The sequence below is a fragment of the Homo sapiens genome, chromosome 16 (assembly GCF_000001405.40).
Source record: "Homo sapiens chromosome 16, GRCh38.p14 Primary Assembly".
Taxonomy (NCBI): Eukaryota; Metazoa; Chordata; class Mammalia; order Primates; family Hominidae; genus Homo; species Homo sapiens.
In genome coordinates, this window is record NC_000016.10 from 70,518,454 (window position 1) to 70,546,241 (window position 27,788).

The 27,788-nt window shown below is 43.7% G+C and overlaps 2 protein-coding genes and 2 non-coding genes across 7 annotated transcripts in view, besides 2 other annotated features; 3 read left to right on the plus strand and 1 right to left on the minus strand.

Annotated features, from left to right (window-relative positions):
* The window catches only part of COG4 (component of oligomeric golgi complex 4), a 42,988-nt gene extending 37,887 nt beyond the window's left edge, over positions 1 to 5,101 (minus strand). For all 4 annotated transcript variants that reach the window (NR_158212.1, NM_001195139.2, NM_001365426.1 and 1 more), the window contains exons 1-2: positions 4,920 to 5,101; positions 1,196 to 1,278 (exon numbers count right to left, since the gene is read on the minus strand). Coding sequence is in view for 2 of the 4 variants with exons in the window: in NM_015386.3 (NP_056201.2) it covers positions 1,196 to 1,278; positions 4,920 to 5,090 (254 nt within the window). In the remaining 2 variants the exon portion in view is untranslated. The remainder of the gene's footprint in view (positions 1 to 1,195; positions 1,279 to 4,919) is intronic.
* Positions 4,734 to 4,873: an enhancer, noted in NCBI's record as "active region_11066". NCBI's record gives its function as "activates an Ori minimal core promoter by ATAC-STARR-seq in GM12878 lymphoblastoid cells {active_cell/tissue: GM12878}" and the evidence as "EXISTENCE:reporter gene assay evidence [ECO:0000049][PMID:35858748]".
* SF3B3 (splicing factor 3b subunit 3) overlaps positions 5,363 to 27,788 on the plus strand; it is a 53,853-nt gene continuing 31,427 nt past the window's right edge. The window contains exons 1-10 of the mRNA NM_012426.5: positions 5,363 to 5,475; positions 8,134 to 8,273; positions 10,420 to 10,746; positions 12,292 to 12,464; positions 14,026 to 14,167; positions 16,855 to 16,967; positions 19,870 to 20,007; positions 20,651 to 20,754; positions 23,216 to 23,381; positions 25,985 to 26,080. Of these exons, the coding sequence (NP_036558.3) occupies positions 8,204 to 8,273; positions 10,420 to 10,746; positions 12,292 to 12,464; positions 14,026 to 14,167; positions 16,855 to 16,967; positions 19,870 to 20,007; positions 20,651 to 20,754; positions 23,216 to 23,381; positions 25,985 to 26,080 (1,329 nt within the window). The 5' untranslated portion in view covers positions 5,363 to 5,475; positions 8,134 to 8,203. The remainder of the gene's footprint in view (positions 5,476 to 8,133; positions 8,274 to 10,419; positions 10,747 to 12,291; positions 12,465 to 14,025; positions 14,168 to 16,854; positions 16,968 to 19,869; positions 20,008 to 20,650; positions 20,755 to 23,215; positions 23,382 to 25,984; positions 26,081 to 27,788) is intronic.
* Positions 5,907 to 6,644: an enhancer, noted in NCBI's record as "H3K27ac hESC enhancer chr16:70558263-70559000 (GRCh37/hg19 assembly coordinates)". NCBI's record gives its function as "activates a minimal SCP1, AML or CMV promoter by ChIP-STARR-seq in naive H9 embryonic stem cells {active_cell/tissue: H9 hESC(naive)}" and the evidence as "EXISTENCE:reporter gene assay evidence [ECO:0000049][PMID:30033119]".
* Positions 11,046 to 11,146, plus strand: SNORD111B (small nucleolar RNA, C/D box 111B). Its single transcript, NR_037420.1, has one exon. It is a non-coding gene; the product is annotated as a small nucleolar RNA, C/D box 111B (small nucleolar RNA).
* Positions 19,552 to 19,645, plus strand: SNORD111 (small nucleolar RNA, C/D box 111). The gene has a single exon (NR_003079.1). It is a non-coding gene; the product is annotated as a small nucleolar RNA, C/D box 111 (small nucleolar RNA).

The following is a 27,788-nucleotide window of genomic DNA, read 5'->3' on the forward strand; positions in this document are numbered from 1 at the left end:
GCTCAAATGATCCTCCTGTCTTAGCCTCCTGAGTAGCTGAGACTACAGGCGCACACCACCATGCCCAACTAATTTATTTATTTATTTATTTTTATTTTTTTGTTTTTGAGACAGGGTCAAAAGTGATCCTCTAGATGAGGCCTCCCACAGTGCTGGAATTACAAGCATGAGCCACTACACGCAGCCAGGGAACAATTTTTATGACTAACAAATATACCCAGTCTGTAAAAATGGTGGTTCTCGGCCGGGCATGGTGGCTTACTCCTGTAATACTAACACTTTGGGAGGCCAGGCGGGCGGATCACTTGAGGTCAGGAGTTTGAGACCAGCCTGGCCAACATGGTGAAACCCTGTCTCTACTAAAAATACAAAAATTAGCTGGGCGTGGTGGCACATGCCTGGAATCCCAGCTACTCGAGAGGCTGAGGCAGGAGAATCGCTTGAACCTGGGAGGCAGAGGTTGCAGTGAGCCGAGATCATGCCACTGCACTCCAGCCTGGGGGACAAAAACGAAGCTCCATCTCAAAAAAAAAAAAAAAGGTGGTTCTCAAACTTGAGCTGTGCATTAGAATCACTTGGTAGGCTTGTCAAAACACATCTTCCTGGACCCCACCCCTAGACTTTCTGATTTTGTAAGTTTGGAGTGGGGCCCTAGGATTTGCATTTCTTTTTTTTTTTTTTTTTGAGACGGAGTCTCGCTCTGTTGCCCAGGCCAGACTGCGGACTGCAGTGGCGCAATCTCGGCTCATTGCAAGCTCCGCTTCCCCGGGTTCACGCCATTCTCCTGCCTCAGCCTCCCGAGTAGCTGGGACTACAGGCGCCCGCCACCGCGCCCGGCTAATTTTTTGTATTTTTAGTAGAGACGGGGTTTCACCTTGTTAGCCAGGATGGTCTCGATCTCCTGACCTCATGATCCGCCCGCCTCGGCCTCCCAAAGTGCTGGGATTACAGGCGTGAGCCACCGCGCCCGGCCAGGATTTGCATTTCTAACAAGGTGTGATGCTGGTACAACTGGTCCAAGGACTGTTTGAAAACCATCAAACTAATACCCTTAGGTGTTCACTTTATCTTGAGATAATACCCTTTACATTTCAAGCTGAACTGGTGTTTATAACAGAAAGTTTAAAAAATGGTCACTTGTCCAATTGACCCTGTTGGAATTTACATTAGCTCTTGCTGAGATGCACAGACTCACCCCATTCGGTGGAGAGTGACCATCTTACTTTCAATGGTGTTTTGCTGTTCCAAAAGAGCATCCAGCTCTCTCTCCACCACTTTCTGAAACACAGAGAAACATCCTGTCAGCAGAATGATCAGAAGGAACCTTAAGAGTTATCTAATCCAATCACTTAGCTGAAGGGTGAATCTCATTTCCAAGTCCTTTTTTCCTTCCACTATGTTCTCCTTAGACTTTAACAATGCTTCATTTTGCACTTATGTTGCATGATTGTTATCTTACGTATATCTTATTCCACCTGGCAGATGAGCACCATAATAGGAAGAAATAAACTTTTAATCAGTATCATTAGCATAGTGCCTAATACAGGAAGGCATTTAAAATACAATGCCTGGCCAGCACTGGATCCCAAAGTAATCCCAGCTCTTTGGGAGGCCCAGGTGGGTGGATCACCTGAGGTCAGGAGTTCATGACCAGCCTGGCCACATGGTGAAACCCCATCTCTACTAAAAATACAAAATTAGGCTGGGCGCGGCGGCTTACGTCGGTAATCCCAGCACTTTGGGAGGCCAAGGCAGGCGGATCACGAGGTCAGGAGATCGAAACCATCCTGGATAACACGGTGAAACCCTGTCTCTACTAAAAATATAAAAATACAAAAAATTAGCCGGGTGTGGTGGCGGGCGCCTGTAGCCCAAGCTGCTCAGGAGGCTGAGGCAGGAGAATGACATGAACCCGGGGGGTGGGGGGGGGGGGGGGCGGAGCTTGCAGTGAGCCGAGATCATGCCACTGCACTCCAGCTTGGGCAACAAAGTGAGACTCCGTCTCAAAAACAAAAAACAAAAAACAAAATTAGCTGGGTGTGGTGGCGGGGGCCTGTAATCCCAGCTACACAGGAGGCTGAGGTAGGAGAATCACTTGAACCCGGGAAGTGGAGGTTGCAGTGAGCCGAGATCGTGCCATTTCACTCCAACCTGGGTAACAAGAGTGAAACGCTGTCTCAAAAAAAAAAAAAAGAAAATACAATGCCTAAACAAAAAACACCACACACATCTTGCTGAAATGAAATTTCCAGTGACAGTTACCAAAATTTTTCTTCTTGGTGCATAGTCAGTAGCCAGGGGTTATAAATATAATTATCTCTCATTCAAGCCATTTATTGTGCAACCTCAATTTATGTAACATTTTTATGCTTCGGTTTTTTCATCTGTAAAACTAGGATAGCAATACCAATCTCACTGGGCTGTTGAATGAGTCAAACAGGAAACCACACAAAGTGCTTAACATGGTATGTGGCATATAGTTCAACAACAGCCATTAAAATTAACCATACATTTTTATTTTTTGCGGGGGCTCAAGTGCTCTTCCTACCCCAGCCCCCCAAATATCTGTGACTATAGGCGTGCACAACCCTGGTCCACTGTTTAATTTTTTTGTAGCCACGAGGTCTCACTATATTGCCCAGGCTGGTCCCCAACTATCTGCTATTGCCCAGGCTGGTCTCCAACTATAGCTCAAGCTATCTGCCCATCTCAGCCTCCCAAAGAACTGCGATTAGAGGCATGAGCCACTTGTGCCCAGGCAGCTATACTTTTTTTTTTTTTTGAGACGAGTTTCGCTCTTTCACCCAGGCTGGAGTGAAGTGGCCTGATCTTGGCTCACTGCAACCTCCCTGCCCTGGGGTTCAAGCGATTTTCATGCCTCTGCCTCCCAATTAGCTGGGATTATAGACGCCCACCATCACACCCGGCTAACTTTTGCATTTTTAGTAGAGACTAACATGGTTTCGCCACGTTGGCCAGGTTGGTCTCGAACTCCTGACCTCGGGTGATCCACCCGCCTCGGCCTCCCAAACTGCTGGTATTACAGGCATGAGACACCAAGCCCGGCCATATACATTTTTATTAAAATCGTTCTGTAGGTTCCAGAGGAAAACGTCCTCTTGACAGTCATGGAATACAAATACAGTACTTATATCATTTTGTCTGTAAGATTTCCATAATTTTCCACCCAACATATTAAATGACTGAATGAATGCGAGCTTAGGAATGTTAAGTCAAGATACTAAATTTTTTTTTTTTTTTTTTTTGAGACAGAGTCTCACTCTGTCGCCGAGGCTGGAGTGCAGTGGTGCGATCTCGGCTCACTGCAAGCTCCTTCTCCCTGGTTCACGCCATTCTCCTGCCTCAGCCTCCCGAGTAGCTGGGACTACAGGCGCCCGCCACCACGCCCGGCTAATTTTTTGTATTTTTAGTAGAGACGGGGTTTCACTGTGTTAGCCAGGATGGTCTCGATTTCCTGACCTCGTGATCCATCTGCCTCAGCCTCCCAAAGTGCTGGGGTTACAGGAGTGAGCCACCGCGCCAGGCTTTTTTTTTTTTTAAGAGACACAATTTTGCTCTTGTTGCCCAGGCTAGAGTGTAATGGCGCTATCTTGGTTCACTGCAACCTCCGCCTCCCAGGTTCAAGCAATTCTCCTGCCTCAGCCTCCCGAGTAGCTGGGATTACAGGCATGCGTCACCACACCCGGCTAGTTTTGTATTTTTAGTAGTGATGGTTTTCACCATTTTGGTCATGCTGGTCTCGAACTCCTGACTCAGGTGATCCTCCCGTCTTGGCCTCCCAAAGTGCTGGGATGGCAGGCGTGAGCCACCGCGCCCCGCAAGATACTAAATTTTAAAACACATCTTGCTGAGGCCAGACAAAAAAAGCCCCACACACTAAACTAGCCAGGCACGGTGGTGTGCGCCTCTGGTTTCATCCATTCTGATTGCAGCACAACAGCACTCCAGCCTGCGCAACAGAGAGCGGCCCTGTTTCTAAAAATAACAAAACAAAACAAAAAACACCACACACATCTTGCTGAAAAACGTATCAGAAACTGCTAGAGTTAGTGCAAGTTTATACTTGAAAATACTCAAAGATATCAACGATCACCTCTCCCTCAGGCTGAAACTGCCTTTTGTGCTCAACTTTGCTAGAAGTTTGGTCTGGGAAACAGCTGACAAGCTTAGAGCTTAGATCTCTTTTGACTAGCAAGGAACCCAACTGACATTCGAAAGTGAATTGACAGCATCGAGTTGCCACTGAAAATTAAAGGAGGCAGGAAATAGAACGTTATGAACTGAAAGGAATTGGAGAATAGTCCACACCCCTCATTTGATAAAATATCAAGGGTACCAGAGATGAAGTGACTTGTCCAAGATTAGAGAATTGTGTCTGAGTCTTAAAAGCTAAACCTCTACAAAGATGTGCATTTGACCAAAACGCTAAAATCACACCCCCAAATCACTCCCCACAAGAGGAAGTCTTAAAACGCTTCAAGAAGTTAATCTGCAAAGGCTTCCCTCTTAAATAACAGGATGAGAGCGTTTCATAATTTGTAAATTAAGCCAATGCAAAAGGGCGCTTATTATTTTGAGAACCAAGCAATTTGGCAAATACTCTCAGACTAACTTTACTCCCGTGGAGAAACTGGTGATCATGGATCAGGGAAATCAACGGGGGTCTAGGGAGGAGAGGCTGCAGATCGCCCAGGTATCAGGGAAGACAAGCTCGGCGCGTCCGACAGCGTGAAAAGAGTTGACAGGACTACTCATATACCCGACTAGCTTCCGCTTCTTTGTTTTCCCGCTTTTTTGTATCCCCCAGCAAGGAGAGTTTCCCACAGCCCGGATTTCCCGACTGAAGGCTCCCACTCTCCCTAGATCCTCCATGAAAAAGAAGAGGCTCGACCCCGCACCTCCTCGCCGCAGAGCCGTTCGTATACAGCCTCCAGCTCCTGCAGCTCTGTCAGGGAGCGAATGAGCTCAGCGGAGATTTCGGAGCAGCGGCCACCTCCCACCCCCTCAGACGGCTGCTGCACCCCTGACAGCTTCGGAGGCGAATCAAGGTCCGCCATCTTGGTCCCCATTCGGCACTTCCGGTCCCGCGAGGCCCCCTCTTCGTTGGCGCCTATTTGGGGCTGCCCACAGAAGTGCCCAATGAACTCTAATGGTTTTTTTTTTTTAAAGTCTACTTCTAAAAACGTATTAATTTTCTATTCTCCTGGAAAAAGCAAAGCAATAAAGCATGTTTAAATAATTTGTAATGCCGTGTGGAAGCAAGACGGAAGCATTTTTTAAAAATTATATATATTCTTCAGGCGCGGATTGGGTGCCTTTTTCCGCCGCGCGCCACCAGAATGTCCCTGTCTTGAGGTCTAATGGCGGACGCCAGTATGTTGGAGTTGGTGGTGGCTTAAGTTTTGAAGGGAGGTAGCATCCGTTGGATATCCACACCATCCTTCTCGCTGCAGGGTAAAAAAACAGCCTGGAGACTTCCCCGGGCCCGGGGAGGCGGAGACCGGCCATATGGAAGGGGGACCCGAGACTTTGGCGGGGGTCACGGGCAGTCTAGGCCCGAGAGGCTGGGGACCAGGAGGAGGTACCGAGGGATGGTTGAGGCGCCAAAACGGCTTCCTGCAGTTATCTCTCGCTTCCATCCACAGTGTGGGAACATATTCTATCTCAAAATAGGGCTCGTGGAGATTGCTTTTAACTTCTGGGGACTCTGAGACGGGGGAGGTGTGACAAGCAGCGGGAGGCATGGATGTCTCCCTCTGGGTAGAGTAAATGGTACACCGAGGGGAAGATAGAAAGATGGAGCGTGTTAAAAGCGTAAATAACGGAAACAGTCTTTAGAGCCAAGACTCCGGTTTGAATTTGTATTTTGGTAGTTGGGCAACTTGTCTCCTCCTCTGAACCTCTATTTTCTCGTTTGCGTAATGGAGGACAGAGTTTAAATGCGATGATGTTTCCTTGGAGGATGGAGAAGATGCAGTGAGCAATCATACAAGCTTTTTGTAATAATGGTAAACAGACGTGGGGGAAGTTTTTTTTGTTTTGTTTTGTTTTGTTTTTGTGACGGAGTCACAGTCTGTCGCCCAGACTGGAGAGCAGTGGCGCGATCTCGGCTCACTGCCATCTCTGCCTCCCGGGTTCCAGCGATTCTCTTACCTCAGCCTCCCGAGTAGACTAGCTGGGATTACGGGCGCGTGCCACCACGCCCGGCTAATTTTTCTTTTTTTGAGACGGTGTCTCGCTTTGTCGCCCAGGCTGGAGTGCAGTGGCGCGATCTCTGCTCACTGCAAGCTCCGCTTTCCGGGTTCACGCCATTCTCCTGCCTCAGCCTCACGAGTAGCTGGAACTACAGGCGCCCGCCACCGCGCCCAGCTAATTTTTTGTATTTTTAGTAGAGACGGGGTTTCACTGTGTTAGCCAGGATGGTCTCGATCTCCTGACCTTGATCCACCCGCCTTGGCCTCCCAAAGTGTTGGGATTACAGGTGTGAGACACCGCGCCCGGCCCAGACGTGGGGGAAGTTTTAAAGCTTACCAAATTTATCTGGTATGTATTTTTTGTTTGTTTGTTTTGTTTTTGAGACGAAGTCTCGCTGTCGCCCAGGCTGGAGCGCAGCGGCTTGATCTCGGCTTACTGCAGCCTCCTCCTCCTTGGTTCTAGCTATTCTCACGCCTCAGCTTCCCGAGTAGCTGAGATTAAAGGCGTGTGCCACCGCGCCCGGCTAGTTTTTGCATTTTTAGTAGAGGGGTTTTCACTGTGTTGGCCAGGCTGGTCTCAATTCCTGACCTCAAGTGACCCATTTGCCTCGGCCTCCCAAAGTGCTGGGATTACAGGCGTGAGCCACCACTGCGCCTGGCCTCGTATATAGTTTTTCTAGTACTGGACTGATCCTCCGAAATGCACCTTCCTCCACGATCCAAAGTTAAGGTGTCGCTGGAGAACCTGAATCCAACTAGATTTGGGAAAAAATGAATTCCAAAGGTTTGTAATGGATTGTATCAGTTATAAGGAAAGGGGAAAGTAGACTGTTTTGATCAGCTACAAAATATGAAAAGTAACTTGCGGGGAGCTGTTCAGGGATTCAGAAGCAGCTCCTAGCTTCCTCTCTTTTGCTTTTTTTGTTGTTTCTCCACTCCCTGGTCTTTCAACATCGGTCCTTTTCGTTCATGTTTTACTGTGGTCCTAGAACGTTAAACATATACCTTAGTCTATGGGCTGGGCGCGGTGGCTCAACGCCTGTAATCCTAGCACTTTGGGAGGCGGAGGCGGGCGGATCACGAAGTCAGGAGATCGAGACCATCCTGGCTAACATGGTGAAACCCCACTAAAAATACAAAAAATTAGCCGGGTGTGGTGGCGGGCGCCTGTTGTCCCAGCTACTCGGGAGCCTGAGGCAGGAGAATGGTGTGAACCCAGGAGGCGGAGCTTGCAGTAAGCCAAGATGGCGCCACTGCACTCCAGCCTGGGCGACAGATTGAGACGCCTCAAAAAAAAAAAAAAAAAAAAAAAGGAAAAAAAAAAGATATACCTTAGTCTCAAGTAGAAAATTTTATATCTCTCAGGACCCATTTCTAGCCTGGAGCATTGATCTTGCCACCCTGCTTTTGCTCAGCCCAGAAAGTTATTTATGAGGACGTTTACTCATAATTCTCTCTTCTCGTTTAACAATAAAATCAAATATGTATGTTAATTCTATACTAATGACCTTGGATTTCTCAAGGTCCCGTGCTTTTTATTTATTTATTTTTTTTTTTGAGATGAGGTCTCATTCTGTCGCCCAGCCTGGAGTGCAGTGGCATGATGTTGGCTCACCACAACCTCCGCCTCCCAGGTTCAAGCGATTCTCCTGCCTCAGCCTCCCGAGTAGCTGGGACTACAGGCGCACAGCACCATGCCCAGCTAATTTTTGTATTTTTAGTAGAGACGGGGTTTCACTGTGTTGCCCAAGCTGGTCTCGAACTCCTGACCTCGTGAGCCACCACGCCCGGTCACATATGTTGTTTCTTAATAGGGCTTGCTCTGCTGGTTCTGCTGTCTTCATCCAGAATTTCCCATACAGAAATGTCTGTTGAAGTAATAGTCTCCCAGCTATTTTTCTGTTTTCTGTTTTCTTAGCTTTCTTGGACTCCGTACTGTTGGTGTAACCAAGGCCTGGAGGTCTGGGTGGCTCAGGTTTCCTGCAGCCATGTTTCTGTACAACTTAACCTTGCAGAGAGCCACTGGCATCAGCTTTGCCATTCATGGAAACTTTTCTGGTAAGTTCTCTCGTTACCATCTTTTGAAATTTTAAGTGAATTAATACATATCTTGCTTAGTCTCTTGTGCAGGAAATGTTTTCCATTTATGACAAAACAGTTGTTGGTAAATGTAAACAATTCAAATTATGAGATGAGGTGTTAAGTTCTGGTGCATTATCTGTTACCTATTTCAGATGCATTTCCTAGTTCACAAATTGTGTAATGATTCTTGTCAGGGCACACTTTTCTTGGCTGCTTACCTAGTGCCAAGTCGTGTGCCTATTGCTGTAAGACATACTGAGATGTGTAAGACCTGATCTTTGATCTTGAATTTGACATCAGGTTGGGTAAAAAGAATGTCTGAAGGTGTTTGTCTGGTTATCAGAGAGTAATTTAAATAAAGGGAAGGTTGGACCTTGGTTTGGTGCTTGAAGAGATAGAACTTTTGTATGAGAGAAAAGGGAAAATGCAGTTTAGGTAGGGAGTGCTGTCTGCATAGAAACAGATAATTTGCTTACGTTTACCATGTGGGGAATATTTTTGTAAAGATGGATTAAGGCTAGGTTTGAATTGTGTGAAATTTCAAATATTGGATTAGGAAATACAAAGTTACTGAAAGTGAGGTACTAATGTTTATAAAATAAAAACTTTTTCTTGCCATTTGCAGATTTAACATTTTTGAGTCAATCCAAGTAATGCAGGAGGTTCATGATTGTGTAGAGTAAGACATAATTTTGTTGAGGTTTAACTCTGAATACTTAATGTGGTACTGAATACTTAATGTGGTACTGAGAGGCAGCCTAACTGACCACACAGCATTCATATTTCATGTTGTTATTTTCTCTGATCCTCATTATGGCTCTTCCTGCGGGTTTGAGTCTTCATTTGGGTAATTTAGTTATTCTTTGCTGCATTTGATTAAGGAAATACGTATATGGGAATTTGGAGATTTGTGACTGACTTCACTATGTAATGCAATGAATCTCAGCTGGAGTTTGGATAGAATTTTTGAAAGCACGTTTTTGTTTTTTGTTTGTTTTGTTTTTGTTTTTTGTTTGTTTTGTTTTTGTTTTTGTTTTTTCCTTGAAACAGAGTCCTGCTCTGTCACCCAGGCTGGAGCGCAGTGGTGTGATCTTGGCTCACTGCCACCTCCGCCTCCTGGGTTCAAGCGATTCTCCTGCCTCAGCCTCCTGAGTAGCTGGGATTACATGCGTGCACCACCATGCCCGGCTAATTTTTCATATTTTTAGTAGAGATGAGGTTTCACCATATTGGCCAGGCTGATCTCGAATTCCTGACCTCGTGATCCACCCACCTTAGCCTCCCAAAGTGCTGGGATTACAGGCATGAGCTACTGTGCCCTGCTGAAAGCACATTTTTAATACTAATTTTATCTTTCAAATTCCTTTTCCAATTCAGTCTTCCTTTTTATCTAAAATGATGGAGAAGTTTTCTTTTTTTTTTTTTTTTTTTTGAGACGTAGTCTTGCTGTGTTGCCCAGGCTGGAGTACAGTAGTGCGACCTCGGCTCACTGCAAACTCCGTCTCCCAGGTTCAAGCGATTCTCCTGTGTCAGCCTCTGGAGTAGCTGGGATTATAGGCACGTGCCACCACACCTGGCTAATTTTTGTATTTTTAGTAGAGATGGGATCCCACCATGTTGGCCAGGCTGGTTTCAAACTCCTGACCTCAAGTGATCTGCCTGCCTCAGCCTCCCAAAGTGCTGGGATAACAGGTGTGAGCCACTGTGCGTGGCCTTTTTTTTTTTTTTTTTTTTTTTTAGAGACGATATCTTGCTGCGTTTCCCAGGATGGAGTGCAATGGCAGGATTATAACCCACTACATTCTCTGAACTCCTGGGTTCAAACTGTCCTCCCACGTAGCTGGGACTAGAGGCACAGGCCATCACACCTGACTAATTTTTTTTTGAGACGGAGTTTTGCTCTGTTGCCCAGGCCGGAGTGCAGTGGCACAGTCTTGGCTCACAGCAACCTCTACCTCCTGGGTTCAAGCGATTCTCCTGCCTTAGCCTCCCGAGTAGCTGGGATTACAGGCATGTGCCACCACGCCTGGCTAATTTTTGTATTTTTAGTAGAGACGGGGTTTCACCATGGTGGCCAGGCTGGGTTCTGGTTGTTTATGATCTTTATTTTTTGGTGATCTAGGAACCAAACAACAAGAAATTGTTGTTTCCCGTGGGAAGATCTTGGAGCTGCTTCGCCCAGACCCCAACACTGGCAAAGTACATACCCTACTCACTGTGGAAGTATTCGGTGTTATCCGGTCACTCATGGCCTTTAGGCTGACAGGTGGCACCAAAGACTACATTGTAGTTGGCAGTGACTCTGGTCGAATTGTTATTTTGGAATACCAGCCATCTAAGAATATGTTTGAGAAGATTCACCAAGAAACCTTTGGCAAGAGTGGATGCCGTCGCATCGTTCCTGGCCAGTTCTTAGCTGTGGATCCCAAAGGGCGAGCCGTTATGATTAGTAAGTGATTTACTCTACTTGCTGTATATGCCTAGTTTAGGATAACAATGCTGTGCTCTTGGTGGTGTGCCAGTGCCAATTAATTACTTATGTGGGTTTGGCATCATGTTTGGATTTACTCTAGGTTTAAAGTTGCATTTCCTTTTTAAAAGAGTTGCATTTTCTTTTAAAACAATGGGAAAAATCTTAACACACCTTTCTACTTCCCATCTAGTTGGAAATGGGTGTTTTTCAATTTCTTTTTCTTTGGCAAAAAGACTACAATGAAATGATCTTATGTTATTAGACAGTGAATATCGTTGCTTTCATCAGCCTGAAGTGATGATTCACATTCATGTCTCTTCTCTGATAAATTCTTGAAGAAAATTTTTGTGTGTCTGATCAGGCCTCTAGAGGGCAGTCATAAATCGTTAGATCTATTTCAGAGAATAAGGCTAATGATAATTTTATGAATTACTGTTTTTCAGTATCCTTAAATGTAGGACTCATTAAAAAATTTTGACTAGTTAGTGGGATATTTAAGACCTGTATTAGGAAGAAGGGGGCCACAATGATGCCATTGTCTTTAAAAAAATTTATTTATTTATTTTTAAGAGATGGGGGTCTCAGCCGGGCACGGTGGCTATTTATCTTTAAAAGAGATGGGGTCTCAGCCAGGTGCGGTGGCTCACACCTGTAATCCCAGCACTTTGGGAGGCCAAGGTGGGAGGATCACTTGAGGTCAGGAGTTTGAGACCAGCCTGGCCAACATGGTGAAACCCAGTCTCTACCAAAAATACAAAAAATTAGCTGGGTGTGGTGGTGGGTGCCTGTAATCCCAGCTACTTGGGGCAGGAGAATCGCTTGAACCCGGGAGGCAAAGGTTGCAGTGAGCCGAGATAGCGCTACTGCACTCCAGCCCGGACGACAGAGTGAGACTGCATCTCAAAAATAAATAAATAAATAAATAAATAAATAAATAAATAAATAAATAAGAGAGAGATGGGGATCTCACAATGCTGCCCAGGATGGTCTTGAATTCCTGGGCTCAAGCAATCCTTCCTTCTGTCTTGGCCTCCCAAAGTGCTGGGATTACAGACTTGAGCCACTGTGCCCAGCTCCACTATTGTCTATTCTTTTTTTTTTTTTTTTTCAAATGAGGCAGAGTTTCGCACTTGTTGCCCAGGCTGGAGTGCAGTGGTGCGATCTCAGCTCACTGCAACCTTTGCGTCTCAGGTTCAAGCAATTCTCCTGCCCCAGCCTCCCAAGTAGCTGGGATTAGAGGCATGCACCACCACACCTAGCTAATTTTTTGTATTTAGTAGAGACAAGGTTTTACTGTGTTAGTCAGGCTGGTCTTGAACTCCTGACCTCAGGTGATCCACCCACCTCAGCCTCCCAAAGTGCTATTCTGATGATAGAAAACAGAATCCTGAGTTTTTATACTTGTAGAGTTACTGCTGTTAATAATGATTAAAAGAAAAGCATGATGTGACTCTAGCTGTTCTATAAGTCTCTCTTCTCATTATCTGGGAATCTTGTATGTTTTATCTCCTTCAACTACAGGTGCCATTGAGAAACAGAAATTGGTGTATATTTTGAACAGAGATGCTGCAGCCCGACTTACCATTTCATCTCCCCTGGAAGCCCACAAAGCAAACACTTTAGTGTATCATGTAGTTGGAGTAGATGTCGGATTTGAAAATCCAATGTTTGCTTGTCTGGAAATGGATTATGAGGTAATGGGGACCCTGTCTCTTTGCGTTTCTTTCAGTCACCTCAGTGTTTTTTTTTAAGATTGTTTTCCGGCCGGGCGTGGTGGCTCACGCCTGTAATCCCAGCACTTTGGGAGGCAAGGCTGGCGGATCATGAGGTCAGGAGATCGAGACCATTCTGGCTAACACAGTGAAACCCCATCTCTACTAAAAATACAAAAAGAAAATAGCCGGGCATCGTGGCGGGCGCCTGTGGTCCAGCTACTCGGGAAGCTGAGGCAGGAGAATGGCGTGAACCCGGGAGGTGGAGCTTGCAGTGAGCCGAGATCTCGCCACTGCACTCCAGCCTGGGCGACAGAGTGAGACTCCATCTCAAAAAAAAACGAAAAGATCGTTTTCTTCCTTGTGCATACCTTTTTTTCTTTTTTTTGAGACAGTCTTGCTCTGTTGCCCAGGCTGGGGTGCAGTGGCACAATCTCAGCTCGCTGCAACCTCTGCCTCAGCCTCCTGAGTAGCTGGGACTACAGGTGCTGCCACAACGCCCAGCTAATTTTTGTATTTTTAGTAGAGATGGGGTTTCACTATGTTGGCCAGGCTGGTCTTCTGACCCCAGGTGATTGGCCCACCTCAGCCTTCCAGAGTGCTGGGATTATAAGGCCTGAGCCACCTCACCCAGGCCCAGCCCCTTATGCATATCTTAATTCTGTCCTGCTAGCAGATCTTCATATTCCAAATGCCTTACTGAAATTCTTTGGGATGCTTCAGAGGTTAAGCAACTATTTAATAGTCTTTCTCTGATTTAAGTAATCTCCCTATGGAAACAAGATATTTATTGGGAAAAGCTTCATGAAAAACTTGAAGCTATGTTTAAGGTATTTTTTCACAGAACATACTATTGTTTTCCTTTAACGGAAGGCAGTATCCTCTAGTAGAGAGCTCCCTGGATCCAGAATTTGGAGATTGCAGTTCTCGTTCTAGCTCTGCCATTATCTTATAGCATAAACTTTGTCAAACTATTTGGCGTCAGCCAGGTGTGGTGGCATGTGCCTATAGTCCTAGCTGCTTGGGAGCCTGAGGCCCAGGAATTCTAGGCTGCAGTGAGATAAGATTGTACCACTGCAGTCGTGTACAGTGGCTCACGCCTGTAATCCAAGTTTGGGAGGCCGAGGCGGGCAGATCACCTGAGGTCAGGAGTTCGAGACCAGCCTGACCAACATGGAGAAACCCCATCTCTACTAAAAATACAAAATTAGCCAGGCGTGGTGGCACATGCTTGTAATCCCAGCAACTCGGGAGGCTGAGGCAGGAGAATCACTTGAACCTGGGAGGTGGAGGTTGTGGTGAGCTGAGATCGTGCCATTGCACTCCAGCCTGGGCAACGAGCAAAACTCCGTCTCAAAAAAAAAAAAAGATCATACCTCTGTGCACTGCAGCCTGGGTGACATAGTGAGAACCTGTCTCTCCAAAAAAAAAAGAAGACATTTGTGGACTTCTGTTTCCTCATTTGTAAATTGGAGTCCTGATGTCCTTTCCAGATCTTCGATTTTATGCTGATGATTAGTTTTTATGCCACTATTCTCTGTAGGAAGCAGACAATGATCCAACAGGGGAAGCAGCAGCTAATACCCAGCAGACACTTACTTTCTATGAGCTAGACCTTGGTTTAAATCATGTGGTCCGAAAATACAGTGAACCTTTGGAGGAACACGGCAACTTCCTTATTACAGGTACTTTTCTTTCAGAGCTGCTTTGTACCCTTTTACTTGGTTCATTTTATGCCCAAACCTAATAGGTTTTACTTAAAGGGTTTGGGAATTAATCCATTTGTTGTGAACCTGAATACCTTATCTTTTGGACAGGTTAGAAGTTCATGTGGTGGAGTGATTTTAAAAAGTGTTGGGGATAAAGACTGCCTAGCTCCTTAATAACTCATATTCTACTGAGGGCAGGGAAGAGAAGTTGAAGGGAGCAGTCAGCTTGGAATATTGATTACTGTTAGTTGCTGTGACAGTTTGGCTGTAGTCAGTCTTTGCCTCTCATTCAAACCTAACTCTTTCAAAAGCCAAACAAAATGGACAGACCCCACAAGATGGAACTTGTGAATTTGAAAACTTAAACAAAATAGAAATATTTTTGAAGACGATTACCAGATTGATCCAAAAATAAATTAAGAACTTCAATAGACCAGCGTTAGAGAAATTGAAGCAGTAGTCCAAAGTCACTCTCCCAAAAGATTGAGGTCCAGGATTTTCAGGAAAGCTTTTATCTTCTTGTTGAGGGACATATATGTATTCCGTTTTAAAACAAGTTTCTCGGCTGGGCATGGTGGCTCACGCCTATAACCCTAGCACTTTAGGAGGCTGAGGCAGGAGCATCACTTGATCTCAGGAGTTTGAGACCATCCTGGGAAACAAGGTGAGATCTTGTCTCAATGAAAAAGTAAATATTAAAAAAAAAAGTAAAACAGATTTCTCTAGAGTAGAAAAAGAGTAAATGCTACTGTGCCGCTCTCTGAGTCTAGTATGACTACAGTATCAAAACTAGGGATGGACAGTAACAAAAAAAATTTGCAGGCTAGTTCATACGGTTGTAGATAGGAAAAGCTAACATTCCAGCAAATCAGATTCAGTGTTTTAAATGCACATAGCTAAGTAACGTTTTTGGAGGAGCTAAAAAATGGAAAATATTTTCATGGTTGGAAATCAGTTCACCATTGGAAAATACACGTTACTAATTGATTATATTAAAAGACTAAATGAGTACAGCTACATTTGTGGTCATCTGCATTTCAGCAGGCTTGGGGAAAACTGATCTAGTTCTATTTTGAATCATTTGCACTTCAACTGATGTCTAAAATAAGATGTTGTTTGGGGAAGATACTGGAGAATAAAAATAAAGGACAGCACTTACCTTTGTTAATACGTTAAGCAGATGAATTTTTGATCACACATCTCATTACTTGTAACATATTACCATACCTTTCATTTACAAGGGCTTTTTCATTCTTTCAACACATTTTTATTGAGCCTTTGCAGTCAGTATGTGCTAAGTCAGTCTGCTGGATCTTGGGACTTCAGTGGTGAAAAATTAGACGTGGTGCCGCCTTTGTGCAAGATTGAGTCTGGTGGTGAATACAGATAAATAACCAAAACAATTACCAGAAACTGTGCCAAATGCCATGACAGCACAGAGAAGAGGTTCCCTAAACAGGGAAAGGAAACGAATGTGTTACAGAAAGCTTGCTGGAGTCTCTAAGCTGAGATCTGAGGGCTAGTTAGAAGTTAGCTAGGTGCAGTTGGAGTGGGAGAGGAAGTTTCAGTTGTAGGCAAAGGGAACAGCATTTACAAAAGCCTAAATACAAGAAATAACATGGTCCATTCAAATAATTAAAAGCTCATTATGATTTAATTATTAAGGGACTGGGGTAGGAGTAGGGGTGGGGTGAAAGCTACTGAAGGATTCTAAGTAGGGAAATAATCTGATAGGTTGACAACCTTAGAAAGATTAATTGCTTACATTTTGGCTAATGAAATGGAGGATATTAAGACTGTAAGAGGGGAGACTGATGAGGACATTAAGAGATACTGGTAGCTGCTAAGGAGGTAGAATCAATAGGGCTTTGGGAGGAGAGAGAATTGAAGGATTATACTCAGGTGTCTGGTTTGGTCTGTTGATGGTAGTATTCTCTAAGGTGGAGAATCTAGGAGGTGGAGCAGGGTTGGGAAGGAACTTGAGTTTGTTTATGAACATGCTGTTACTTTATTTTATTTTTATTTTATTTATTTACGTTCTTGAGACAGAATCTCGCACTGTTGCCCAGGCTAGAGCACAGTGGCACGATCTTGGCTCACTACAACCTCCACCTCCTGGGTTTAAGCAGTTCTCCTGCCTCAGCCTCCCGAGTAGCTGGGATTACAGGCGCCCACCACCATGCCTGGCTAATTTTTGTAGTTTTAGTAGAGACGGGATTTCACCGTGTTGGCCAGGCTGGTCTCGAACTCCTGACCTCAGGTGATCTGCCTTTGGTCTCCCAAAGTGCTGGGATTACAGGCATGAGCCACCATGCCCAGCCTGAACACACTGTATTTTAAAAATACCGGTGGAAGGTCCATGTCCAGTAGGTGATTTGATGTATTATAGGTCTGAAGATGGGGTCTGAAGATGAGAACTGCATTTGGGCTTGGAGGTAAACATTTGGATACGTTATCCAGGCTGAGACCAAACCTTCCATGTAAACACAAACTGTGCTTCATCCTTATCTACCATGAACATAAGGGAGGAGAAACACATGAAATGTTTCTTAGCATCAGGCACATTACCATCATCAAGTTGTGCTGAAAGAGAGGAGGAGTTGAAAGCTGAAGAAATTCATGTCTGAGTCAAAGTCACTGCTAAGTTTTATTTTCTCTCACAGTTCCAGGAGGGTCAGATGGTCCAAGTGGAGTACTGATCTGCTCTGAAAACTATATTACTTACAAGAACTTTGGTGACCAGCCAGATATCCGCTGTCCAATTCCCAGGAGGCGGGTAAGATCTTTGATATAAGAAGAGAGAGATTTGTGTTTAATTTTTGTGATTACAGTGTAGTCTCTTAGTTTGTTACCAATTTAGTTTTTTTGTAAATTAAAAAAAAAATTCAGTGACCCTGGGGCAGGGACGTAAATGTTGTTTTTAATAAAGCTGGTGAAATATTTTAGTAAAAGCCAAACAAATTCTCTTAGAAAGGGAATTAAAACTAATCTAATTTCTATTTCAGAGGAACCTGTGGACAATTATTAATTTGAAATTCCTGAATGTTTCTAGTTTGGAGAAACCAGGCATATTTGTTAGAGATAGGTTGCCTTTTATTCTATTTGGTTTTTTTTTTTTTCCAACATTTTTATTTTGAAAATTCCAACATACAGAAAGTTTAAAAACAATGAACAATGAATTCCCACATGCCTTTTAGATTAATCCGTTATTAATATTTTGCTACATTTGTTTTTTCTTTCTCATGATATATCCATATACTTTCTAGGCTAAGCAATTTGAAAAGAAGTTACAGGCATTATGATGCCTCACTCCAGTAATCTTCTAAGATAATGGCTCCCGAGAACAAGGACATTTTCCTACATTACCAGATTGCCAATATCATACCCAAGAAATTGTAACATTTTGTGTAGTATAGTTACCTTATGTATAGTTTATATTCATATTTCTCTCATTATCCCAAAAAGTTCCTTTGTAATTAATTGGCCTTTAGTCTCCCTTAGTTCAGGATATTTCCCTCTCACCTTTTTTTCTTTTTTTTTTGAGATGGAGTCTTGCTCTGTTGCCCATGCTGGAGTGCAGTGTTGTGATCTTGGCTCACTGAAACCTCTGCCCCCCGGGTTCAAGTGATTTTCCCACCTCAGCCTCCCATGTAGCCAGGATTACAGGCATGCACTGCCACACCTGGCTAAATTTTTTTTGTATTTTTATTTTTTGTATTTTATTTATTTATTTATTTGAGACGGAGTCTCGCTCTGTCACCCAGGCTAGAGTGTAGTGGTGCGATCTGGGCTCACTGCAAGCTCCGCCTCCCGGGTTCACGCCATTTCTCCTGCCTCAGCCTCTCGGGTAGCTGGGACTACAGGCGCCCACCACCACGCCCGGCTAATTTTTTTTTTTTTGTATTTTTAGTAAAGATTGGGTTTCACCGTGATCTCAATTTCCTGACCTCGTGATCTGCCCGCCTCGGCCTCCCAAAGTGCTGGGATTACAGGCGTGAGCCACCGCACCCGGCCTTTTTTGTATTTTTAATAGAGACGGGGTTTGCCATGTTGGCCATTCTCGTCCCAAACTCCTGACCTCAAGTCATCTGCCTGCCTTGGCCTCCCAAGGTGCTGGGGTTACAGGCATGAAGTGCCCTGCCAGTCTGGGCTAATTTTCTTTCTTTTTTTTTTTTTTTTTTTTTAAGATGGTGTCTTGCTCTGTTGCCCAGGCTGGAGTGCAGTGGCGCAATCTTGGCTCACTGCATCCTTGACCTCCCAGTCTCAAGTGATCCTTCCATCTCAGCCTCCCAAGTAGCTGGGACTACAGGCACCTGTTACCATGCCCAGCTAATTTTTATATTTTTAGTAGAGATGGGGTCTCACCATATTGGCCAGGCTGGTATCGAACTCGTGACCTTGTGATCTGCCTGCCTCAGCCTCCCAAAGTGTTGGGATTACAGGCGTGAGCCACTGCGCCTGGCCAGCTAATTCTCTTATAGTCTGTCCCATAGTTTGTTTCCTCATGATTATATTGAGTTTAATATTTCTGATATAATTACTACATAGGGAGTGATGTATAAGTGATACATATTCTCCACTATGTCACACATTGTGTGTACATAATGTTGGTTTATCTGATTGAGACATTAAATTGGTCACTTTGTTAAGGTGGTGCCTGCCCATTGTCTTCATTGTAACGGTATTGTTTCTTTTTTGGTAACTGATAATGGAATTTGATGGTGATCTTTGAGACTAATGAATATCCCTCTTCCTGAGACTAGTGAATATCCCTCTTCCCCGGCGTCTTTTCACCTGGTGGTTTTGGTGTGGATTCTTTGAATCATTTACTGCCATCTCTCCCCTCAATCCCCTGGATTATTTATTTGCTGTTAAATATTTATCTGTTCTGGGGTTGAACTTTAGGATTTAATTTAATGTAATATGTAGTACGTAAGATTCCAGCAATTTTAGAAAACCTTAGAAGAAATTTGGCAAGTTAAATTCTTCTTGTTAAGGGATAGGAAGTCACTAAGTTGATTAGACATTGAGCACCTAACTGTGCCAGGCACTGTATTTGGCTTTGCAATAACAAAGTCTAAAACTTCTTGCAGAGCAGAGCTTACTCGGTGGGAGAAATAGAAACTGTTGGAAACGTTAAAAAACGCAAGGCAGGTGCAGTGATGTGCCTCTGATCCCCAGCTACTTGAGAGGCTGAGGCGGGAGGATCCCTTGAGCCCAGGAGTTAGAGACCAGTCTGGGCAACATAGTGAGACCTTGTCTTTAAAAGAAAAAAAATTCAAAGTCATACCTAAGGAGGTGCCTTTTAGGAATCAGGCATTTGATGTAGAACAGGGTAATTTGGATGGAGCAGTGTTTCACAGCCTGAAATGATGACTCTTTAAAAAATTTCATGTCTCTTCTCTGACATTTTTCTCTGGACACAGTTTTTGCCTTATGAATCTGATCAGGCTGTAGAGTGGAATTGGGACTCTTTTGGTTACCCAGATTTTATTAGATATTTATATTAGAATTTTGAGCTGTGGGGTTCCAGTGCTCTGGCTGGCAGGACACTGTGGATCAAAGCTTGTGCCTTTAGGCCTTTAATGTCATTTGTAATCCCTATTGGTAAAGTGCTGAATTCCAGAACTAAGAAGTACCCATTTCTAAGACATTGATTGTGTTTTTGACTTTGCTAGAATGACCTGGATGACCCTGAAAGAGGAATGATTTTTGTCTGCTCTGCAACCCATAAAACCAAATCGATGTTCTTCTTTTTGGCTCAAACTGAGCAGGGAGATATCTTTAAGATCACTTTGGAGACAGATGAAGATATGGTAAGTAGACCATGGATGGACCAGTATAGCTACTCTATGAGATGAGATAGGCAAGACAGGTAATACTTTACAAGTTAAAAAAATGAGAACTTAGAAAGTAGTTGCCCTTGGAACCGGTATATGAGTATAGATTTTCTCTCTGGTTATCAGATTTTTGGTCTAGTAATCTTACATACAATATAAGAGCGGCAATGCCACTTGTAGTGATTATTTTTAGGTGAAGAAGATAGTGATTATTTTTGGTGTGAAGAAGATAAAGGTCTCTGTTTCTGCTGAAAACTGGTAATAAACATGATCTGTTACTTGTTTTATCCTATGGACGAGCTCTGTGAGTTGTTGGGCAATTTCTTAGATAGCTGTTTGGATCAGGAATTGGCAAACATTTTTTTGTAAAGGCCACATAGTAAATACTTGCAGCTTTTGTGAGCTACGTAGTCTCCGTCTCAATTACTCAACTCTGCCATTATAGTACAAGACAGCCACAGCCAGTAATGATTGGCATGACTGGCCCATGAGCCGGAGTTTGTTGACCCCTGGTCAGATATGAAATACAGTATTTTATTTGCTACTCAGCCTGTGCTGTCTTATAATACGGGGCTCACTTCACTTTGTTTGTACACCAGAATGTTTCTTTTCTCACCAGGTTACTGAGATCCGGCTCAAATATTTTGATACTGTACCCGTTGCTGCTGCCATGTGTGTGCTTAAAACAGGGTTCCTTTTTGTAGCATCAGAATTTGGAAACCAGTGAGTAATCCTTCTGTTACCCTAGTTCACCCTGGTTGGGATAAAAGTTGGCAGCAGAAGCTGGGTGCAGTGGCTCACGGCCATAATCCTAGCACTTTGGGAGGCTGAGGTGGGTGAATCACCTGAGGTAAGGAGTTGGAGACCAGCCTGGCCAACATGGTGAAACCCCATCTCTACCTAAAATACAAAAATTAGCTGGACATGGTGGCGGGCACCTGTAATCCCAGCTACCGGGGAGGCTGAGGCAGGAGAATCACTTGAATCTGGAAGGTGGAGATTGCAGTGAGCTGAGATCACGCCACTGCACTCCAGCCTGGGTAACAAGAGCGAAACTCTCTCTCAAAAAAAAAATAGTTGGCAGTAGGAAGGTGCGGCTTTGAGGCTTAGGGAGCTTTTCACAAGAATGTGTTAGTTCTTTCAAAAGAAGTTTGTTCTATCCTTGTAGAGTCTTTCTTTTTCTTACCTTCCTTTATTTTAGTGGCTTCGGGCAGTACCTCTGTAGGTATCTCCAGAACTATCTTTAGATTTGATGTCTCTTCTGAGCTTTTTGCTGAATATTTCATCAAATAAATTTTTTTTTTTTTTTGAAGTGGAGTTTTGCCCTTGTTGCCCAGACTGGAGTGCAATGGTGTGATCTCGGCTCACCGCAACCTCTGCCTCCCAGGTTCAAGCAATTCTCCTGCCTCAGACTCCTGAGTTGCTGGGATTGCAGGCATGCGTCACTATGCCCAGCTCATTTTGTACTTTTAGTAGAGACAGGGTTTCTCCATGTTAGTCAGGCTGGTCTCGAACTTCCGACCTCAGGTGATCGCCTGCCTCGACCTCCCAAAGTGGTTGGATTACAGGCGTGAGCCACTGCGCCCAGCAGTACTTAAATATTTCAATAAGTATTTATTTGATGAAATGGCCAGGCGCGGTGGCTCACGCCTGTAATCCAAGCACTTTGGGAGGTTGAGGCGGGCGGATCACCTGAGGTCGGGAGTTCGAGACCAGCCTGACCAACATGGAGAAACCCTGTCTCTACTAAAAGTACAAAATGAGCTGGTCTCAAACCAGCTGGCCAAGCTGGTCTCAAACTCCTGACCTCAAGTGATCCATCCACCTTGGCCTTCCCGAAGTGTTGGGACTACAGGCGTGTGCCACCGTGCCCAGCCGAGCCTTCTTAGCTTTTTGGGGTTTTTTTTGGTTGTTTGTTTGTTTAAGACAGAGTCTTACTCTGTTTCCCAGGATGCTGGAGTGCAGGGGTGCAATCTCGGCTCACTGCATCCTCGACCTCCCAGGCTCAAGGTGATCCTTCCATCTCAGCCTCCCAAGTAGCTGGGACTATTAGCAAGGTGCATGCCTGGCTAATATATGTATTTCTTGTAAAGTCTCAAACTTCTGGACTTAAGCAATCCAAGCAATCCACCTGCCTCAGTCTCCCAATGTGCTGAGATTACAGGCTTGAGCCATAGCGCCTGGCTGATATTTGTCCCTTTGTGTCTAGCTCATTTTACTTGGCATAATATTTAGAAAATTCATGTTTAAAAAAAAAAAGAAAGAAAAAGATTCATGTTTTGGTAGCCTGTATCAGAGCTTCGTTCCTTTTTGTGGCGGAATAACTCATTGTATGTACATACTGCATTTTGTTTACCCATTCTGCTGATGTACACTTGGATTGTTTCTACCTTTCACTATTGGGAACAATGCTGTGGTAGATGTTGCTGTGCTAATACCTATTTGATTCCCCATTTTTAATTTTTTTGGGTATATATGTAGGAGTGGAATTACTGGGTCATGGTAATTCTGTGTTTAACTTTTTGAGAAACCACCAAACTTTCTCATAGCAGCCACACCATTTTACATTCCCAACAGCAGTATATGAGGGTTCCAGTTTCTCCACATCCTTGCCAACTTGTTTTCCACGTTTGTGATTATAGCCATCCTGCTAAGTATGCAGTGGTGGTATGAAGTGGTAGCTCATTGTGGTTTGCCTTTCCCCGGTGATGAGTGATGTTGAGCATCTTTTTGTGTTTATTGGCCATTTGTGTATCTTTGGAGAAATGTCTATTCAAATCCCATTGCCCATTTTTTAAGAGTTGTCTTTTTATTTTTGAGTTCTCTATGTGTTCTGGGTACTAGACCCTTGTCAGAAATACGATTTGCAAATATTTTCTCTCATTTTGTGGGTTGTCATCTTTCTTCCTTTGATGCACAAAAGTTTTAAATTTTGATAAAGTCCAGTTTATCTGTATTTTCTTTGTTGCTTGTGCTATAAATAAAATACTCACTGCACTTCCCAGATCTTTTCCCTGAATTGTTTTGAAACAAATCCTAGCTGTCGTACTTAGTGATAACACCTAAAAATAATAACAATAGTATCTTAATATAATCAAATAGCTTGTGCTTTATGTTGATGCCAGACATTATCGTCAGGCAGAGAACTCGTTACCGAAAGTTTCTCTCCTCTGCTTCTTCCCAGTTACTTATATCAAATTGCACATCTTGGAGATGATGATGAAGAACCTGAGTTTTCATCAGCCATGCCTCTGGAAGAAGGAGACACATTCTTTTTTCAGCCAAGACCACTTAAAAACCTTGTGCTGGTTGATGAGTTGGACAGCCTCTCTCCCATTCTGTTTTGCCAGGTTGGTGGGCCTTTCCAGCCCCTTCCACAATAGATCTAAAGTTAAACTGAGGTCTAGTCTAAGAAATAGCTTTATTAGTATTTCCATGAACTCGCCAGTGTGTAAAGCAGTTAGAGGTAGAAGTTTGAGCACAAAAAACCATTAATAAGTCCTCGGGCTTTTTTTCCCATAATGACAAAACTCACGTTTAATGTAAAAATGCAGATCATATTCCTGTACAGCTTGCAGGGGAGGAAAAAATCAGACCATACAAGAAGTGAGAAGTAAAAGTCCTCCCCGTAATCTTCTCACCTGTCCGCTCCATTGAGCCATATTGCTTGTATTAACAACTTCTTGTGACTGCTTCTAGGTGTTTTCTCTGCATTTACAATCATGTATATGTTTATGTGTTATATCTTTTTCTTTTTAAAATAAGTGGATTCATATACTCCACAGTATTCTGTGGTTGACCTCTTGTCATGTAACAGTCTACATATAGCTGTATTTATTTAATTTTACCACAGTTCCTCTTTAAAATAGTTCTGAGACATTGGGATCAGTTGGTAACAGGTAGTTTTGAATCACATTCTCAAGGAGGAACCTGAAGTGGCTCAGAATGGAGTTTGTGTCTCTCATTGCTGGTGCTCAGTTGTGACAGCCAGGAATTTGATCATGTTGCTGCATCCTCAATTGTCAGGGTTTGAGTGACCATTAGGGACCACCTGTGTAGTTGATCACACTTCTGATGGGAGAGGAGTTTGTTCACTGGGTACTGGGGAAACAAGTCAGCATTCAGACAGGTTTAATTAAACCCATCTGAAATTAATTGCTTTGTTCTTCCTTTCTGAGAAACGATTAGTCTTGAGGGCAACAGAAAATAAATGTGACTAATTTCTTTTTTTTTCTTTTTTTTTTCTTTTTTTTTTGAGATGGAGTCTCGCTCTGTTGCCCAGGCTGGAGTGCAGTGGCGTGATCTCGGCTCACTGCAAGTTCCGCCTCCCAGGTTCACGCCATTCTCCTGCCTTAGCCTCCCTAGTAGCTGGGACTACAAGCGCCCGCCACCATGCCCAGCTAATTTTTTGTATTTTTAGTAGAGACAGGGTTTCACTGTTAACTAGCCAGGATGGTCTCGATATTCTGACCTCGTGATCCGCCTGCCTTGGTCTCCCAAAGTGCTGGGATTATAGGTGTGAGCCACCACGCCCGGCCAAGTGTGACTAATTTCTAATTTGATTTTTAGTGATTTTTTTCACCTTCATTGGAATTTGAATAAATAATGTGTGTAAATAGTTTATTCATCAAGAATAAAATTAGCCAGGCATGGTGGCTCATGCTTGTAATCCCAGCACTTTGGGAGGCCGAGGTGGGCAGATCACCTGAGGTTGGGAGTTTGAGACCAGCCTGACCAACATGGAGAAACCCTGTCTCTACTAAAAGAAATACAAAATTAGCCAGGCATGGTGGCGCATGCCTGTAATCGCAGCTACTTAGGAGGCCGAGGCAAGAGAATCGCTTGAACTTGGGAGGCAGAGGTTGCGGTGAGCTGAGATCACACCATTGTACTCCAGCCTGGGTAACGAGCGAAACCCCGTCTCAAAAAAGAAAAAAAAAAGGCCGGTCACGATGGCTTACACCTGTAATCCCAGCACTTTGGGAGGCCGAGGCGGGTAGATGACCTGAGGTCAGGAATTTGAGACTGTCCTGGCCAACACGGTGAAACCCCGTCTCTACTAAAAATAAAAAAACTAGCAGGGCATGGTGGTGGGTGCTTGTAATCCCAGCTACTTGGGAGGTCGAGGCAGGAGAATCGCTTGAACCCAGGAGATGGAGGTTGCAGTGAGCTTACACAGTGCCACTGTACTCTAACCTCGGTGACAGAGTGAGACTCTGTCTTAAAAAAAAATAAAATAAATAAAATGAATGGGAAGTTAAAGTGTGTATAGCAGGGCTTCTTAACATTTCTTTCTGCCATGGATCTTTTTGCTAGCCAAAGCATCTGGATCCGATCTGAATAATGTTTTACTGTTTTTTTGTGTTTTTTTTTTTAATTTTTTTTTGAGACAAGAGTCTCACTCTGTTACCCAGGCTAGAGTGCAGTGGCACAGTTACGACTCACTGTAGCCTCAGCCTCCTGGGCTGAAGCGATTTTCCCACCTCCGCCTCCTCAGTAGCTGGGACTATAGACACAAGCCACCATACCCAGCTAATGAATGATATTTTTAAATGCATATGAAAATATGCATAGAATCAGAATAGCAAAATATTTTTTAAAGTTGTGGAAAACAGATGTGCTTTACTGAGGTTTTATAAATAATAAGATGATACACTTAAAATGGGTGTGTTAATTTTTTTTAGGAGACTGGTGTGATGGCTGTATACCCTCAGTACTCACATGTGCGTCTGTGTTACAGTAGACTCCATTGCTCTGCAGAGAGAGTAAAGAATTTTCATTTGAACTGTCCAGTTTGTCAAAACTACAATACAGATCATTCACCTCTTTTCACATATTGATCAGCAGATAATTGTATTGGAAAGCAGCTGGATGTCTGGGATACTAGAGAATCAGAGTTGTGTTTGAAAACAGCACTGGAGACATTTTTTCCTCTAACTTTTTCTCTGTGCAGATAGCTGATCTGGCCAATGAAGATACTCCACAGTTGTATGTGGCCTGTGGTAGGGGACCCCGATCATCTCTGAGAGTCCTAAGACATGGACTTGAGGTAAGGTTGCAATTTCTAGATAATCTGCAGGGTTTGGAGGGAAGCACTGACAAAGTAGTTTATGGGTTTACTCTGATGTTGTCAAAGACATAGTTAAGGTGTCTGTGAAAAAGTATGTTCTTTCTCCCTGACTTCCCCGAAGTTTATACTTCAGATTTTCTTTCTTTTTGTCTCCAAAACAGGGTCTCACTGTGTTGCCCAGGCTGGTGTGCAATGACATGATCTTGGCTCACTGCAGCCTTGACCTCTTGAGCTCAAGTGATTATTCTGCCTCAGCCTCCCAAAGTGTTGCTTACAGGTGTAAGCCACTGTGCCCAGCCTGTGCTTTTTTCTATTCCTCAACTTGTTAGCATGATAGCCCACATGGTCACTAGTCATGACATGGAGGCTAGGAAATCTATATGGAACATTTCACTCTCTGTATACATCTAGTCTTAGTTAAATCAACTATATCAATGCTATATATATTTTTGTATCTTATTAAATTTATTCCTTATTACTATATACTCCTAAATAGCATACTTTTTATTTATTTATTCATTTATTTTTGAGATGGGGTCCCACTCTGTCTCCCATGCTGGAGTGCAGTGGCTCCATCATGGCTCACTGCAGCCTTGACCTTCCTGGGATCAGGTGATCCTCCCACCTCAGCCTCCTGAATAACTGGGGACTGCAGGCACGTGCCACAACACCCAGCTAATTTTTGTACTTTTTGTAGAGACAGAGTCTTATCATGTTTCCCTGGCTGGTCTTGACCTCCTGGGGTCAAGCAATCTGCCTGCCTTGGCTTCCCAAAGTGCTGGGATCACAGCCGTGAGCCACCGCACCTGGCCAAGTAGCATAATTTTTAGTGTTTCTGCAATGTTTCACCAAAGTGGGTAGATCATAATTTATTTAGTGAATCTTTTATTGCTGGACTTTTTAGGTAATGTGGACACTAAAAGTTATCTTCTTGAATCCCATATTCTCTGTGTATCGTAGTCCTAATGTTAATGCTTTCTAGTGAGGGCCCTGAACTTGAACTTGTTAGGAATAAAATAAAAAGCTTCCTATAACAGTTTGTTTTGAGCGCTTGGGAATGGCAATCTGAGCTCTCAAGAGGCCTGCTACCTGTTTCTGTAAATTTTTATTGGAACACGCCCAAGATAATCTGGGTTTTGAATTCTGGCTCTACCACTTAATAGCTATTACTAAGTTTTTGTTTCTTCTGTTAAATGGACTTAATAATGGTACCTGCCATAAAGAATTATGTGAATTAAATGAGTTGATAACAAACAAAGCACTTAGCTTAAGGTATGGCATGAAGTGTTCGATAAATGTTAGCTGTTAACATTGGTGTTTCAGGGAATTTGAAAATGTTTTGTCTCTGCCAAAATATATTCATCAGTTCACCAAAATTTCAATGACTCAGACCCAATTTAGAGCCATAGGTCTGGTTTTTGGTTTTTTGTTGTTGTTGTTTTTGTTTTTGTTTTTTTGAGTGCAGTGGTGAGACTTTGCTTCACTGTAGCCTCCAACGCCCAGTCTCAAGCAAGCAATTCTCCCACCTTAGCTTCTGGAGTAGCTGGGACTACAGGTGTGCGCCATCACGCTTGGCTAATTTATTTATTTATTTTTGGTAGAGACAGGGTCTTGCTATTTTGCCAGGGCTGGTCTTGAACTCCTGGGCTCAAGTGAGCCTCCCACTTCACCCTCCCAAAGTGTTGTG